Raw genomic sequence first — 17062 nt, forward strand, 5'->3', positions numbered from 1 at the left:
ACAAATTCAGCCCCCACAACAAGATAATGACCCACGATGTGGCTTGGAGCCAGCCAAATGGAAGTCCCTTTTGCTGTCTGAAATTTCTGGCAGCTACATAATCTGTGGCAACTGGCAGTCCCCTTCCAGCAACAGTTCAATGAAAGCGCCCCTCCAAAATGAAAAGGCTGAGCAGATGAAATGAAACAAAGTCTAGATTGCCAGGTAAAAGCCTGATATGGCTGCCTGCTTCTCATCCTACATGAATCACGCACCCCTCAGATAGATGTGAGATAACAAATTTCCTTTTGGTGGCTCTAAAGGGAATATACGGTCTTAAAGTATCAATCTTCCCAGTCATTAAAACATGACAATGTTCAGAAGGAAACACTCATGCAATTTCCCATGAGGATCGTTCTCCATGAACTGGGAAACATTTAAGGTGGTAGTCATTGGGCCAGACTTAGGAAACCCTAAAGCAATTAGAATCATGGAAGTCACAAAAACAAAAGGCATGTCTAGAAGTCACAGCCACATCCCACCCAGCATCAATCCATTCCACTCACATTTGCCTCCAGGTATGAAAACCCACAAATGAGTAGTTTGCCAGTATGGCCCCTATTTGTACTCTGAATGTTCTTGTGCATTGGAGTACTCCCACCTGAACACTGAGCCATTGTGTGGATTTCTTTTGCAATTAAGGGAATGTGGGGATGAAGTTGGAAGCAACTTTTTTGTCATCTGTCTTTATTTATTTATTTATTATTTATTTATTTATTGCAGGTGAAGTTGCAAGACCCCATCCACCCCTCACTACATTGTATCCTCATTCCTATCTGATCTTATTGCTGCTCACACTCTATATCCCAGGATAAAATCCCAAGACAATGGAGGAGTACCTCCTGAGGATGTGAAGCACCTGCTTGACTCAGAACTGAATTTGAGGTAAATTTAAGGGGCCCAATCAACAGGACTGCTAGTGTCTCTCCCTGTGTTGACTGTAGGAATATGAAACACGGGCATGTCTGTCTTTTGGCATGATGTGTTCTTATTCCTTTTCTAGAAGAGTGGCTTTTGTTTGTTTTGTTTTGTTTTCTGATTTGTTTTTTTGCTTTTGCAGAAGGAGTTGATTTGGACACATTCAACTAAAAATAAAAAATAAAGAACATCATGCCCCACAACCCAAGCAGAGCCACATATGCAGGCCACCAAAAGCTGGGGAGACTCCAAAAAAAAGTGCTAAAGTGCTTTACCCACATTCCTTTAAGCTGACTCCACTTACATTCACACACACAAACACAAACACACACATACACAAAGAGTAACCTTGAAAAACACTGGTGGGCTATACCAGGAAGTCACAGTAGCACAAGTTTCAAAAAGACTCACCTTTACAACATCTAGGCAGGCCTGAGGAATCCTGCAGATCTTCTTGGATTCTTAGGGATTTCATGGTTTATTCCTCAGGCTCTGTTTGACATTTCTTGAGGCTGGCTCATGTCTGCCCTCTCCTAGGATCATGGATCAAACCCATGGATCCCACAGAGAAGACAGGTGAGTCCAACACCAATGCACCTCCACAGACATCTTCTCTGCCAAGCCACAGGGACTTGTCTCTTGGCAACGGTGACATTCATTGTGATGCTAACCAGTGCTCACAATCAGGCCTAGTCCCCTCAAACTAGCACATGTCCATTTCTGAGGCAGACTCAGGAGTCAGGCTTTGAGAGCTGTCAGCCTGCCTAAGCAGAGGAAAGTGGTACAGCCAAACCCATCCTGGTATCAGGAAAAAAGCTGCCTGTGAAAATCCACTGCTCAGGGCCTTTTTGGGTGGACCCCATGGTTGAATCCTGCTGTGTCAGGAGGCATTTGAAGACTATGAGGTTGTCTCTGGAAACTGCTCTTCTGACTCCACTCCTGAAAAACGCTGTGTGCAAGAATCAGGTCCAATGGGAATTGGAATATTGTCTGGTGTGCTGTTGCATGTTCTTTGGGTGATAGAATCATACCTCAGACCTCAGAAGCTATTGTCAGTGAAAGATGGCCAGGTTGTTGACCTCACTGCTCCCCTTCATCTGGGCCTCACAGAGGCTTTCTAAGAAAGGCAGGAACCAGGACAATGGCAAGTCCAAGGTGAAGCGGTATTCTCACAACTTGGACTGGCCTCTTAGGCATGCAGGTGAGGTTGAGACCTGTCTCAGAGATTGTCTGTGTTGACGGCCAGGCTGAAAATGTTTCCAGTAGTGCAGTTGAGGGGCACAGTAGATTCCTGATGAAAGCAAAGAAAGGCCAAGGCTCACATGAGAGAATGAGCTAACTGGTGCTGGGTCCAAGCAATGTTCAATGATGCCTCTTAAAGGACCCAAAAGTCCACTGCAAAGTGCAAACAGCCTCAGCCCTGGAAATGAGACAATCACCCGCATGCTGGAGCACAGCCAGCCTACCTGAAGTCCGTTTTGCTGTCTGAAATCCCTTCCAGCTAAATAATCTGTGGTAACAGGCAGCCCCACTCAGCAACAGCCCAATGAAAGAGGCTCTCCACAATGAGAAGGCCATGCAGATGAAATGACACAGAGGCTAGATTACCAGGCCAAAGGTAGACATGGCTGCCTACTTCCCATGCTACGAGAATCATGCAGTCCACTAACACAAGTGGGAAAACAAGAGTTTCCTTGTTGGTGGCTGTAACAGAAATTTATGGTTTTAAATGTATCAAAGCTGTCCAGTCATTAAAATATGACAGTGTTTAGAATGAGACACTTATGCAATGGATTCCAGAAGTGCTGTTCTCTGTGAACTAGGAAAGGTTTATTGTGGAAGTCGTTGAGCCAGACCTGAGAAGCCCTAGGGCAAAGGGGAACATGGAAGTTAATATAAGAATAGCAAGTGTGGAGGCCACATTCCACCCAGTGTCAATATATTCCACTCCCATTTTGCTCTGGGCTTGAAAGCCCTCAAATCGGGAGTTTGACAGGATGGCCCCAATTTGCACTCCAAATATTCCTTGCATATTGGAGTACTCCCATCTGAACACTGGGACCTGGTTTGGACTTATTCTGCAATTAAGGTGAGGAGAGAGATCATTTCTCTTACTGCCTCCTGTTTCTGAAGAGAAGGAGGAAGTAAAAGCTAAAAAAAACAACAGGAATGATAGCAGTGGCAAGACCAGCTGGCACCACTAATGACCAGTCCTGAGGCTAAATGATTAACCCACCACTTTAACCACATTTGTATCTATAAATCTCAATTTATTATGCCCCTTTCCTGTAGAAGCCCTTAGAGTTCTAAGCCCTTAAAAGGGCCTGGAACTCTTTCTTCAGGGAGCTTGGTCCTTGAGACGTGGGTCTGCCAATGCTCCCAAACAAATAGAGCCACTTTCTTCTTTTACCTGTTGTCTAAGTTTTTATTTTTGTTTTTGTTTTTGTTTTCCCCACCACTCGTACTGCTACATTTCTTGGTTCCCTGACCTGGAAATGAGGTGATTAATGCACAATCAAGGCAGCCCCCAAGGCAGCTTAGGCTTGCCCTGCAACATATCCCTGTGGGTAACTCCAGCCAGCTTGAGTAACATGTATCCTGAGAGTGCTCCTGGTTAGATGTTTTCCCAGGTGGAACACTTCATCAGAGCAGTACACTGCAGGCCCCCACAAAGGATCAATACAGTGGCTGTACTCTGCGAATAAACTGGTTCTTGGAGTCCAGACATCTGGAATATGGTAGAAGGAGTCCTGGTAACTTGCTCACTCCATTTAAGTGGAAACATGGTCTGATTACCCACAATGTGTCCTTATCAACACTTTGGTATTGATTTTGATTTGGCTTGACTTGCTTGCAAAAAGGAAAAAGAAATTGAGTGAGTGCTTGAGTTTCAGATGGGAGAGATGAGTGACTGAACCCTTTACCCTTTCCTTCTTCTGATGTGTGTTGTCTTGACTCAGGAAGAAGATGGATGGAACATAAAGTAAGCCCACTCCGTTAGAAACTATGCTGAAAAATTTCAAGAAACCAGCAAAACTTAGAACTTTGTGTGAGATAGACTGGCTAGCTTCTGGCACTACAACAAAACTTGAGGGTAAATAAACATTTAATTGGAATGAATCATAGAAAACTGATTAGAAGAATACTTGATGTTCATGATAATTGTGGTGCAAGACAGTTTTAAGTATGTTTTTAGTATTTTTATAGTTCAGGAAGATATATTCTAGGAGCAGTTTTAGATGACTCTTATTTCTGTAGTAATATTCAATATAGTGTACCTGCTTTGTAGTCAGAAGAAGGCTAGAAGTTGAATTCAGGCATTTTCTTCCAATAAAGCTAATTATGGCTCATTCCCATTGACAAGGTGTAGATTTGGATTAGCAATTGTAATTACATCTGTGATTCTTAATTAATGATGTTAATTCAGAGATATGTAAAGTGCAAGTGAGCTTCTCTGCTGTCACTGGCCTTCCAACATTTTTATCCAGTGTTGTATTTGAAATTTCTGCTTCTGTAAATAAATTTTTGAAGATTACAAGTGGTTTGGTCATCAGAAGGAAGCCTGGATAGGTACCTTGTTTCAAAAGTGTGGCACAAGGTAACTGGTAAGCTGGGATACCCAGACCAGTTTCTGTACATAAATACTTGGTTACAGCTGGTTTTAGACCCCTCACAGTGGTTAAGAGGACATGCAGCAGTAGTACTAGCAGCAAAGTGGCAGACAGCCAAAAAAGAATCCCACTCCATCCACTGAAGGGAATTGGCTCCTAAAGTCTTGACCCAACATCAGAGGATTCATGGCAAGAAATGGATCCAGTTGCCCCCACTTCACCAAGAAGGAAGGCCTCCTGAGCCCACTACACCTGAGCTTCCACAAGACCTACATAACCCTAGGCCACCCAGAGTAGAAAGGAAAGGATGTGAGACCTCAGGAGAAACTCCTCCCTTCATAGCCTGTTTGAGGTCTAGAATTGAAATACAAATGTGCCTGAGAGAGCAGTGGTAGATGAGGATGGGCATATGGTGGAAAGGTGAGCCTTTGTGTACTTACCCTTCAGCTTTGCCAATCTCCTCAATTGGAAATACAATATCCCATCCTATACGAAAAATCATCAAGCTATAATTGATTTGCTCAAAACTATTATCCAGACCAACAACCCCACGTGGGCCGATTGCCCCCAGTTGCTCATGTACCCTTTTAACACAGATTAAAGGAGGAGAGTGTTCCAAGCAGCAACTAAGTGGAAGGAAGAACATATTTCAGCTGATTACGAAAACACTCAAAACTATGTGAGGATCTAATTACCAGGAACAGACCCACAGTGGGACCCAAATGAAAAAGAGGGTATGCAAAGGTTAAACTTGTACAGGGCACCCCTTCTGGAAGGGTTAAAGAAGGGAGCTCAGAAGGCCACAAATGTTTTACAAGAGACTATATGAGGCCTATTGTATGTTTACTCCCTTTGATCCCAATGGCCCTGATAATCAGAACATGATTAACATGGATTTAGTTAGTTAAAGTACACAAGACATTAGAAGAAAATTGCAGAAACAGGCTGGGTTTGCAGACATACATACTTCACAGTTATTGGAGATAGTCAACCAGGTGTTTGTAAATAGAGATTCACTAAGATACAGAGAGAACTGCAGAGAGAGAGAGAGTGAATGCCAAGCCCAGTGAAATGCCAACCTGCTAGCTGCAGCTATTAGAGGGGTTCCCCCAAAGGGGCAAGAGAGGGGGCCACAGGAAAAATACCCAGTCTGGTCATCCAGGCTTGCAGCATAACCAGTGTGCTTACTGTAAGGAAATAGGACATTGGAAGGACAAGTGCCCCAGTTGGAAGGAAAACAAGGTGACTCTGAGCAGGAGGCATCAGACAAGGATGAAGGAACCTCCTTCAATCTGGAAGTCCAGTTCAAACTGGACTGAGGGAGACCAGGCTCATGTGCACTACTAACCACCTTGGTTGCCCTCTTATCCAAAAAGACTATTGATATAACCGAAGCCACAGGGGTCTCAGCAAAGCAAGCTTTCTCTTTGCCCCAGACCTGCACTGTAGGGGGGCATGAAGTGATTCACCAGTTCCTGTACATGCTTGACTTCCTCTTGCCTTCGGTAGGAAAGGACCTACTTAACAAAATGAGAGCCACTGTCCCTTTACAAAGCACAGCTCCTTACAGATAAAGTTAACTGGAGTGTGAGTCATAATGACCATTACAGTTTTTCAGGAGCCAGGCCCAAAGATAGGACAAGCTCTGGCTAAGTGATGGCCAACGGTGTGGGTGGGAGACAGCCTTCCAAGGTTGGCAGTCAACTAAGCCCCCATACTCAGAGAAGTTAAGCCTGTGACAGCCAGTCAGGCAACATAAGTACCCAGTTCCCATAGAAGCTCTTGAAGGTACCCAGGTGCATCTCAAGGGCCTGGGGGCCTCTGAAATTAGACTCCCTTGTCAATCTCCAAGGAACACCCCCCTCCTGTCTGCTCTCCAGCCAGAGACCAAGGGCTACAGGCCGGTACAGGACTTGCACTTGGTCAACCAAGGTACAGTGACTTTGCCCACAATGGTACTTAACCCATACACATTGTTGGGAATTCTGTCAGCTGAGGACAGCTGAAGGATGCTTTCTTTAGCATCAGACTAGCCCCTTAGATCCAGAAATTGTTTGCCTTTCAGTGGGAGGATCTGGGGTCAGGTGTCATCACTCTGTACACTTGGACCTGTCTTCCCCAAGGGTTTAAGAACTCCCCCACCATCTTTAGGGAAGGCACTGGTTTGAGACCTCCAGAAGTTTTCCATCAGAGACCTAGACTGTGTGTTGCTCCAGTACATTGACGACCTCTTGTGGGGAAACCCCAAGGCAGTCAGGTGCATCAAGGGAATTGTTACCCTTCTCTAACAACTGGAGGACTGTGGGTATAAGCTCTCCAAGAAAAAAGCTCAGATCTGCTGACTGCATTTACATTACCTGGGATTTACTATCTGGCAGGGGGAGCACAGCCTGTGATAAGAATGAAAGCAGGTCAACCTACAAGGAAAACAGTCATGAACTACAGAGAATACCAGTGAGCTTCCATCTTGATTGCCTTGAGGAACTCTGGAGCTGACTCAGAGGCTCAAAAAGCACTATCTACACCCTACCAGGCATCTGTCACAGCCCCTGCTCCCTCAGTCACCTGTACTTGAATCTACTTATTCTAAAGAAGAGAAAGACTTTCCCCAAGCAGAGGGAGGGCCAGTGAGAGAAGAGGGATGCATCCAGTTATTGGACAGAAGAATAGCTGTGCCACAACTGCTAGGGGCTGCAGTCATACTGTCTGTGCATGAGACTACCCACTTAGACCAAGAGTCACTTGAAAAGTTGTTAGTCTGGTACTTCTATGTCTAGCATCTGTCGCTACCCACAGCACAATGCTAGGTAAGTTCCAAACTTCATACAACCTTCATACAACCTTATGGAGCAACCCCCGTTGAAGATCTCCAATTAGACTTCACGGGCATGTCCAAATGTGGAGGTAACAAGTATTTGCTAGTTCTAGTGTGTACATACTCTAGGTGAGTGGAGGTCTATCCAACATGAACTGAGAAAGCTTCTGAGGTAACCCATGTGCTTCTCCAAGATCTTGTCCCTAGGTTTGGACTATGCTTATGAATCAGCTTGGAGAATGGGCCAGTGTTTGTGGCTGACTTGGTAAAAAAGATAGCAAAGGTGTTGGGGATCACATGGGACATACATACAATTTACCAACTGTAGAGCTCCAGAAAAGTGGAGCAGATAAATCGGACTATCAAAATAGTTTAGGGAAGTGTGTCAAGAAACAAGGTTAAAGTGGGTACAAGCTCTCCCTATGGTATTGTTTAAGACTAGATGTACCCCTTCTAAAATTACAGAATATTCCCCTTATAAAGAATTATATCATAGGTTCCTTCCCGTACAATGGGGACTCTCAGGCATTTCTCGAGAGCTAGGTGAAATTGACTTACAGTGACAGCTGAAGGCTTTAGGGAAAATTACACAAACAATTTCAGCCAGGGCAAATGAAAGCTGTCCTGTCAGCTTATTCTCTGCAGTTCATCCTTTCTCCTCAGGTGATCAGGTTTGGATCAAAGATTGTAATGTAGCACTCTTGCAGCCACAGGAGGAAAGAACCCTAGAGCATCATCTTGACCACTCCCACAGCTATAAAGATAGAGAAAATCCTATCCTGGATCCACCACAGCCACATAAAACCTACAGCACCTGAGACCTGGAAGGTGAGGCCAAGCCCAGACAACACCTGCAAGCTGACATTGAAGATGACAAGTCCTGCTCCAGTCACACCCTGAAGCTGACTGGTCCATGCATGGTTGAAGCATGAGGAAACTCATCGTGAGACTCATTTTCCTTAAATTTTGGACTTGTACAGTAAGGACTTCAACTTGACCTTCTCAGACTGAAGACTGTTCAAGTTACTGAGGTAGGGCAAAGAGTTAAAAGAGTCTTTCTGTTTTTATGATTATTATGAATGTACTGGAACTTTAAAAGGGACTTGTTTGTATAATGCCACAAAACAGAAGGTATGCAGCACAGGAAATTACCAGCCTTATGTGTGATAACCCATTAGAACTACTCGATCCCTAGTGGAAAACAGGAGAGTAAGTAATTCTAGGAATCAATGCAACTAGACTCTATCCCTGAGTAAATATTTTAATCTAATGAGAGGTCCACAGGCACTCTCCAAAGCTGGTGTTTACTCCACTGTTTAGCATATTTCTAGCAACTTAGTTCATCAAAAGACCACAGCACAAGTGTGTTACATGAATTGCTGGCGATCTGTCTCTCAGGAAGACCTGAATAGTGAAGATGAGAGTGAGAATTCCCACTAGTGAGTGAGGTTCTCAAAGAGGGGAATGAGGAGAGAGGCCATTTCTCTTACTGTCTCCTGTTCTTTGAAGAGAAGCAGGAAGTAAAAGCTGAAAAACAACAGGAATGAAATCAGTGGCAAGATCAGCCAGTGCTATTGATGACCAGGTCTGTCACTAAAATATCAGCCCAATACTCTAACCACACGTGCTATCTATAGATCTCAACCTGTCATTAAACTTTCATGTGGAACCCCTTAGAGTTGTAAGCCTTTACAAAGGCCAGAAACTCTTTCTTCCGTGAACGTAGTTCTTGAAACATGCATCTGCCAATGCTCCCAGCTGAATAAAGCCATTTACTTCTTTAATCTGGTGTCTGACGGATTTTCTCTGCAGCTCATCCTGCTACAAAGAGAATGTGAGGTCAGATTTGCTGGAAGCTTCTGTGTCATCTGTCTTCATTTATTTTGTTTTTGCAGCTGAAGTTGCGGGACCCCATCCACCCCTCATCAGAATGTATTCTCACCCAATCTGATCTTATTGCTGCTCAAACTCTATGTATCAAGATGAAATCCCAAGATGATGAAGGATTGCCCCCTCATGATATGAAGCACCTGCTCAGCTGGGAAGTGAATTCAAGGTAAATACAAGGGGGCATGCATTTAGGACTGCTAGTATCTCTCCATGTTTTGGTGCAGGAAAAAGAAACACTGGGAGATGTCTGTTTTTTTTGTTTTGTTGTGCTCCTCTTTTCTCTAGAAAAGTTGCTTTTTTTGAAGGTAAAAGTGACTTGGATGCTTGTGGGTAATGGCATGCCTCCCAAATCACCGCAGATTCATCATCAACAGAAAAATAAAGAACATGGAGCCCTGCATCCCAAGGAGAGCCACACAGACAGGACAACAAAAGGTTTTGAGACTTAATATAAAAGAATCGCTTGAGTGAATTAACCACATTTCTTTCGGCGGATTCTACTTACATTCACAGCAAACACACACAAACAATGCCACATACACACACACAGACCTCCATCATTCAAGGCACTTCCAGAGAGACACACAATATGGAAGCTCAGGAGGCTGCTTAGTTATGTAGGAGGCCCCACATGGGACAGAGCAACCCTGAGAAATACAGTGGGCCTGTACCTAGAAATCACGGTGGGCAAGTTAAAAAAGATTCAAACCTACATTATCTAGGAATGAATGAGGAATCCTGTAGATCTTTTTGGATACCTAGGGATTTCACAATTTATTACTAGGGCTCTGATTGATATTTCTTCAGAGTGGCCAACATTTGCCCTCTCCAAGAATCATGGGACTATCCTGTGGATCCCACTGAGAAGACAGGTGAGAGTCCACCACAGACACACTTCCACAGTGGTCTCCTTCTTTGCCAAGCTGAAGGGACTTGTTGCTAGGCAATGATGACATTAATTGTGATGCTATCCAGAGCTCACAGTCAGGCCAAGTGCCCTGAGATTAGTGTGTGTGCATTTGTGTGGCAGACTTAGGCACCTGTCTGTCAGAACTGTAAGCCTGCCTAAGCAGAGAAAAATGGTACAGTCAGAGCCAGCCTGGTATTTGGGTAAAGGCTGCCTGCAAAAATGCACTGCAGGACCCAAAACTTCTCAACCTCAGAGCCCCTTCAGGCTGTCTCCATGGCCAGGTGGTGCAGGAGGAAGAGGCATTTTGAGCCTGAGAGGAGGTTGCTGGAAACTGCTCATCTGACTCCATTCCTGAAAGAGGCTGTGTAGAAGAATCCACTCCCATGAAGATTGGAATCTAGTCAGGTGTATTACTGAAGGTTCTTTGGGTGATAGAATCATACCTGATACCCCAGATGCTGATGTCAGTGAAAAATGGCCAGACTCTTGACCTCACTGCCTCCTTGCATCCAGGGCCTCGCAGAGGCTCTTTCGGGAAGGCAGGAACCATGACAAAAGCATATCAAAGGCTGCGTGTGATAATGGCAAGCCTGGAAAGGGAGTCCAGTTGTGCTGTTGAGAGGCACTGTGTAATCCCCAGGAAAACAAAGAAAAATCAAGGCTCACCTGAGAGAATGATCTGCCTTGTTCTTAAGTCCAAGAAACGTTCAATGATTCCTATCAGAGGAACAAAAACCCCTTGCAAATTGCAAACAACCTCAATCTCTCAACGTGTCAAAGACCCACAACCTGTAAGGCAGCCAGCCTACCTGAAGTCCCTTTTGCTCTCTGAAATCCCTGGCAGCTACATAATCTGTGGTGAGAGGCAGTCCCATCCAGCAACAACTCAATGAAAGAGCCCCTCCACAATGAGAGGACCATGAAGATGAATGAAACAGAGGCTAGATTACCTGATAAAAGCTAGAAACAGCTGCCTGCTTCTCATCCTAAAGGAATCATGCCACCCTCCAATAGAAGTGGAAGAACAAGTTTATTTGTTGATGGCTCTAATGGAAAGTTATGGTTGTAAATATATCAAAGCTTCCCAGTCATTAAAACGTGATAGTGTTTACAAAAAAACACTCACACAATAGATTCCCATGAGGGTCGTTCTCCATGAACTGGGAAATGTTTATTGTGGAAGTTGCTGAGCCAGATCCAGGAAACCCTATGTCGATGAGGAACATGGAAGTCAGGAAAAGAACAGGCAAGTGTAGAGGCCACACCCAACCTAGCATCAGTCTTTTCCACTCATTTTTGGCTCCGAGTATGAAAGCCCTCAATTTGGGATTTTGCCAGGATAGCCTCAGTTTGCCCTCCAAATATTCCTGGCACATTGGAGTACTCCCATGTGAGAACAGGGCCAAGATATAAACTGCTTGTGCGATTCAGGCAATGTGGGGATGGAGTTGGAAGAAACTTCTTTGTTGTTTGTCCTTACTTTTTTTTCAGATAATGTTGTGAGGCCCCGTTTACCCCTCAAGAGATTCTATTATCACCTGTGTCTGACATTATTGCAGCTCACACTCAATGTCCCTGGATGAAATCCCAAGACAATGGAGGGGTACTGCCTTAAGACATGAAGACCCTGCTCGGCTGGGACCTGAATTCAAGGTAAATTCAAGGGCCCTTCATACAAGACTGCAAGTTTTCTTCCCTCAGTAGTCCACAGAACAATGAAATGTTGGGAGATGTCTGTTATTTTGGTGTGGTATGCTCCTCTTCTTCCTAGAAGAGTGGCTTTTTTTTGCAGCGGCAGGTGATTTGGACGCTTGTGGTTTCGGCATGCCTCCAAATTCACTGCAGGTTAATGATCCACAGAAAAATAAAGAACATGGGGTCCCAAAGCCTAAGCAAACCCACACAGAGAGGCCATCAGAAGTTTTGGATATACGAAAAAAAAAAAAGGCTGAAGTGTGTTAGACACATTTCTTTAAGGAGACTCCACTTACAGGCACACACAGAAACACACACACACACACACACACAATGCCACACACACAGGCAAACATCCAACACTCACAACACTCCCACAGAAACACACAGATCGGCAGCTCCTGAGGCTGCCTGGTCCTGCAGAAAGCCCTACCGTGGGGAGAACAACCCCGGGGAACACAGGCGGGCTATACCTAGAAATCACAGTGGGGCAAGTTTTAAAAAGACTCAACCCTACAACCTCTAAGCAGGCCTTAGGAATCCTGTAGATTGTTTTGGATCCTTAGGGATTTTGCGGTTTATTCATGAATCTGTGCTTCACGTTTCTTCAGGCTGGCTCACATCTGCCCTATCCTGGAATCATGAGAGTATGTCGTAGATCCCTCAGAGAAGACAAGCGAGAATTCACCACCGACTCACCTCCACGGATGTCTTCTCTGCCAAGCCGCCTGGACTTGTCACTAGGCAATGATGACATTCATTATGATGGTGGTCAGAGCTCACCATCAGGCCTGGTGCCCTGAGGCTGGCACAAATGCATCCATCATGCAGGCTCAGGTGCCTGGATTTCAGAACTCTCATCCTGCCTAAGCAGAAAAATATATGGTACAGGCAGAGCTGGTCTGGTTTTGGGAAAAAAAGGCTTTCTGTGAAAACCCTCTGCGGGGCTCTAAAATTGCCTACCTCAAGACCCTTTTGTGTCATGTCTGTGGTCGGGTTCCGCTGAAGAAGGAGGCATTTGGAGGCTGTGAGTTGGTCACTGATCTTCTGACTCCATTCCTGAAAGAGGCAGTGTGCAAGAAATAGGTCCCATGGGGATTGGAATACTGTCTGGTATTGTTTAGGGCTCTTTGGGAGATAGAATCATACCTGAGACCCAGAGGCTGACATCAGCAAACAATGGCTGGGCTCTTGACCTCACTGCCTCTCTTCCTCCTGGGCCTTGCAGTGGCCCTCTGGGAAAGGCAGGAGCCATGACAATAGCAAGAGCAAGTTGGAACAGTGTTTTCACACCACAGACTCGCCTCTCACAGGTGTATATCAGGTTCAGACAGTGTCTCAGAGGACGTCTTTTGCGATGACATGCTTGAAAACAGTGTCCAGTATTGCCAATGAGGGTCACTGTGGATTGCCTGTGAAGGTAAAGAAAAATTATGGCTCACCTGAGAGAATGAGCTGCCTTTGCTGGATTCCCGGCAACGTTCAATGATCCTGATCAGATTACCCAAAAGCCTCTTGCAAATTGCAAATAACCTCAGCCCTTACAATGAGATAATGACTTTTAACCTGGGGAACAGCCAGCCTAATTGAAGTTTCCTTTGTTCTGAAATCCCTGGCACCTAAATAGTCTTTGGTGAGAGGCAGTTCCATCTAGCAAAAGCCCAATGAAAGAGGTCCTCCACAACGCAAAGGCCACACAGATGAAAAGAAACAGAGGATAAATTACCCTGCAAAAGCCAAACACAGCACTGTTTTAGACATATCAAAGCTGTCCAGGAATTAAAACGTGACAGTGTTTAGAAGAAAACACTTACACAATGGCTACCCATGAGGGTCGTTCTCCATGAACTAGGAAATGTTTAGTGTGAAAGTCATTGAGCCAGGCTCAGAAAAGCCTAGACTGATGAGGAAAATAGAAGTCAGAAAAAGATGAGGCAAGTGTAGAGACCACATCTTACCCAGTATCAATCCACTCCACTACCCTCTGCTACCAGGTATAAAAGCCCTCATATCAGAGGATGGCCCCAATATGCAACTCAAATGATTCTTGCACGTTGGAGTATTCCCACCTCAACTCTGGGCCATGGTGTGGACTGCTTGTGCAATTAAGGGAATGTGGGAATGGGGTTGGAAGTGTCTTCTCTGTCATCTGTCCTCATTTCTTTTTTTGCAAGTGAAGCTGCAAGACCTCATCCACCACTCAGGATATTGTATCCTCACCCCTATCTGTCCTCATTGCTCCTCACATTCTATGTCCCAGGATGGAATCCCAAGGCGATGGAGGAATACCACCTCATGATGTGAAGCACCTGCTCTGCTGGGGATAGAATTCGAGTTAAATTCAAGAGCCCCTGTGGAGAGGACTGCTACTGTCTCTCCCTGGCTTGGCTGAAGGACAATGAAACACTGGGATATGTTTGTTATTTTGTGTGTTGTGCTCCTTTTCTTCCTAGGAGAGTGGCTTCTTTTGCAGGGAGAGGTGACTAGGACGTCGGCGGGTCTTGGCACACCCCTCCTTTCACTTCAGATTCATGATTCATGGTAAAATAAGAATGTGCCCCACAACCCAAGCACAGCCAAACAGTCAGGCCACCAAAAGGTTGGGAGATTCAAAAAAACAAAATGGAGAGCCGAAGTGCTTTAGCCATATTTCTTTAAGTGCACTCTACTTGCAGGCACACACACACAAACACACAACACACAATGCCACATACACAGGCAGATATCCAACACTCACAACACTCCACAGAAACAAATAGGCCTGCAGTTCCTGAGGTTTTGTGGTTCTGCAGAAAGCCCCAACTGGGAAAGAGCAACCCCAGGAAGAACAGGAGGGATGTATCTAGAAATCACAGTGGGACAAGTTTCAAGAAGACTCACCATGACAATGTCTAGGCAGCCTGAGGAATCCTGCAGATTATTTTGGACCCTTAGAAATTTCACATTTTATTCCTGAGGCTGTGCTTGATGTTTCTTCAGGTTGTCTCATGTCTGCCCTCCCCTAGAATCATGGAACTATCTTATGGATCTCATAAAGAAGATGGACAAAAGCCCACCACCAACCCACCTCCATGGTGTTCTTCTTCACCAAGACCAACGGACTTGTCTCTAGGCAACGATGACATTCATTGTGATGCTAGACACAGCTCAGAATCAGGCCTGGGGCCCTGAGAATATGCATGCCAATTCATGAAGAAGTCAGGGTACCTGACTATCAGAGCTGTCAGCCTGTCTAAGCAGAGGAAAATGGTACAGGCAGAGCTGGCCTGTTATCAGAAAAAAGCTGTCGGTCAAAACCCATCCCGGGATCCTAAAATTTTTTACCTCAGGGCGCCTTTGTGCCTTCTCAGTGGTGAGGTCTTACTGGAGGAGGAGGCATTTCAAGACTGACAAAGTCACTGAAAACTGCTTTTCTGACTCCATTCCTGAAAGAGGGTGTATGAAAGAATTTCCCATGGAAATTGGATTAAGGCTGGAGTGTTGTTTAGAATTCTCTGGGTGATAGAATCATATCTGAGACCCCAGAGGTGGGTGTCAGAGAAAGATGGTCGGACTCTTGACCTCACTGCCTCCCTTCATGCTGAGACTCACAGGGTTTCTCTGGGAAAGGCAGGAACCACGACAAAGGCACATCCTGGGTGGAGCAGTGTTCTCACACCTTGAACTGGCCTCTCAAGGATGCATATGGAGTTGAGGCAGAACCTCAGTGGCCATCTGTGGCCATTGCAAGCCTGAAAGGGATGTCCAGTAGTGCTGTTGAAGGGCAATTTTGACCCCCAATAAAAGTAAAGAAAAATCAAGGCTCACCTGAAAGAAGAAGGTAAATTGTGCTGGAGTGCAAGTAATATTCAAAGACTACTGTCAGAATACACAAAATCTTCCTTCAAAGTGCAAACTACCCTAGCTTCCACAATGAGATCATGAATGACAAAAGTGCAGCAAGCCTACTCAAAGTCCCTTTCTCACCTGGAAATCCCTGGCAGCCAAAAGATCTGTGGTAAGAGGCAGTCCCATCCAGCCACTATCCAGTGAAAGACTCCCTCCACAATAAGAAAGGACTTCCAGATGAAATGGAACAGAGCCCAGAATGACAGTCAAAAGCCGGACACAACTGTCTTCTTCTCATCCTACAGGAATTCTGCAGCCCTCCAATAGAGGTAGGAGAATAAGTGTTTCCATGATGGCAGCTGTAACTGGAATTAACAGTTTCAAATGTATCACAGCTGCCAGGAAATTAAAACATGACAGTGTTAAGATGAAACACTCATGCAATGGATTCCCATGAGAGTGTCCTCCATTAAGTGTGAAATGTTTAGTGTGGAAGACGTTGATCCAGACCCACGGACCCTAGGCCGACGAGGGACATGGAAGTCAGGAAAGAAAGAGGCAAGTGTGGAGGCCACCTCCCACCCAGCATCAATCCACCCCACTCCCATTTGGTTCCTGGTATGAAAGATCTCAGATTGGAAGTTTGCAAGATGGCCCCAGTTTATACTCCAAATGTTCCCTGCATGTTGGAGTACTCCCACCTGAACATGGAGCTGCTGTGTAGACCACTTGTACAACTAAGGCAAGGCAGGGATGCAGTTGGAAACACCATCTGTGTCATCTGTCATCACCTTTTTTGCAGGTTAATGTGTGGGACCCCAGCAACCCTCAACTGATTGTATTCTCACCCCTATCTGACCTTATTGCTGCTCACACTCTGTCCCAGAATAAAATCCCAAGATAATGAAGAAGTGCCCCCTCATGACATGAAGCACTGCTCACCTGGGAACTGAATTAAAGATAAATTCAGGAAGCCCTGTGGACAGAACTACTAGTGTCTCTCCCTGGTTTGGCTGTACGACAATGAAACAGTGGGAAATGTCTGTTTTTTTGTGTGGTGTGCTCCTCTTCTTTCTAGAAGAGCAGCTTTTTTCAGCGGGAGGTGATTGGGATGCCAGCGGGTAATGGCCCACCACCCAGTTCACTGCGGATTCATGATCCACAAAAAAATAAAGAACACAGAGCCCCGTAGCCCAAGCAGAGTCACAGGCCACCAAAAGGTTGGGAGACTCAAAAGCAAGAATCGCTGAAGTGCGTCATCCATATTCCTTTAAGCAGACACCACTTACAGGTGCGTGTACACACACATACACATACATACACAAAGACACACACATATGCAGATATCCAACACTC

General features: G+C 45.2%; 1 long non-coding RNA gene across 1 annotated transcript; it reads right to left on the reverse strand.

Moving 5' to 3' along the window:
• Positions 1 to 12460: 12460 nt before the first annotated feature.
• LOC105377235 (uncharacterized) lies at positions 12461 to 14946 on the reverse strand. The gene is made up of 4 exons (XR_938654.2): positions 14759 to 14946; positions 13028 to 13290; positions 12842 to 12937; positions 12461 to 12744 (listed from the first exon to the last, which is right to left on the reverse strand). It is a non-coding gene; the product is annotated as an uncharacterized LOC105377235 (long non-coding RNA).
• Between the last annotated feature and the right edge of the window lie 2116 nt (positions 14947 to 17062).

Source organism: Homo sapiens, chromosome Y, assembly GCF_000001405.40.
Source record: "Homo sapiens chromosome Y, GRCh38.p14 Primary Assembly".
NCBI lineage: Eukaryota > Metazoa > Chordata > Mammalia > Primates > Hominidae > Homo > Homo sapiens.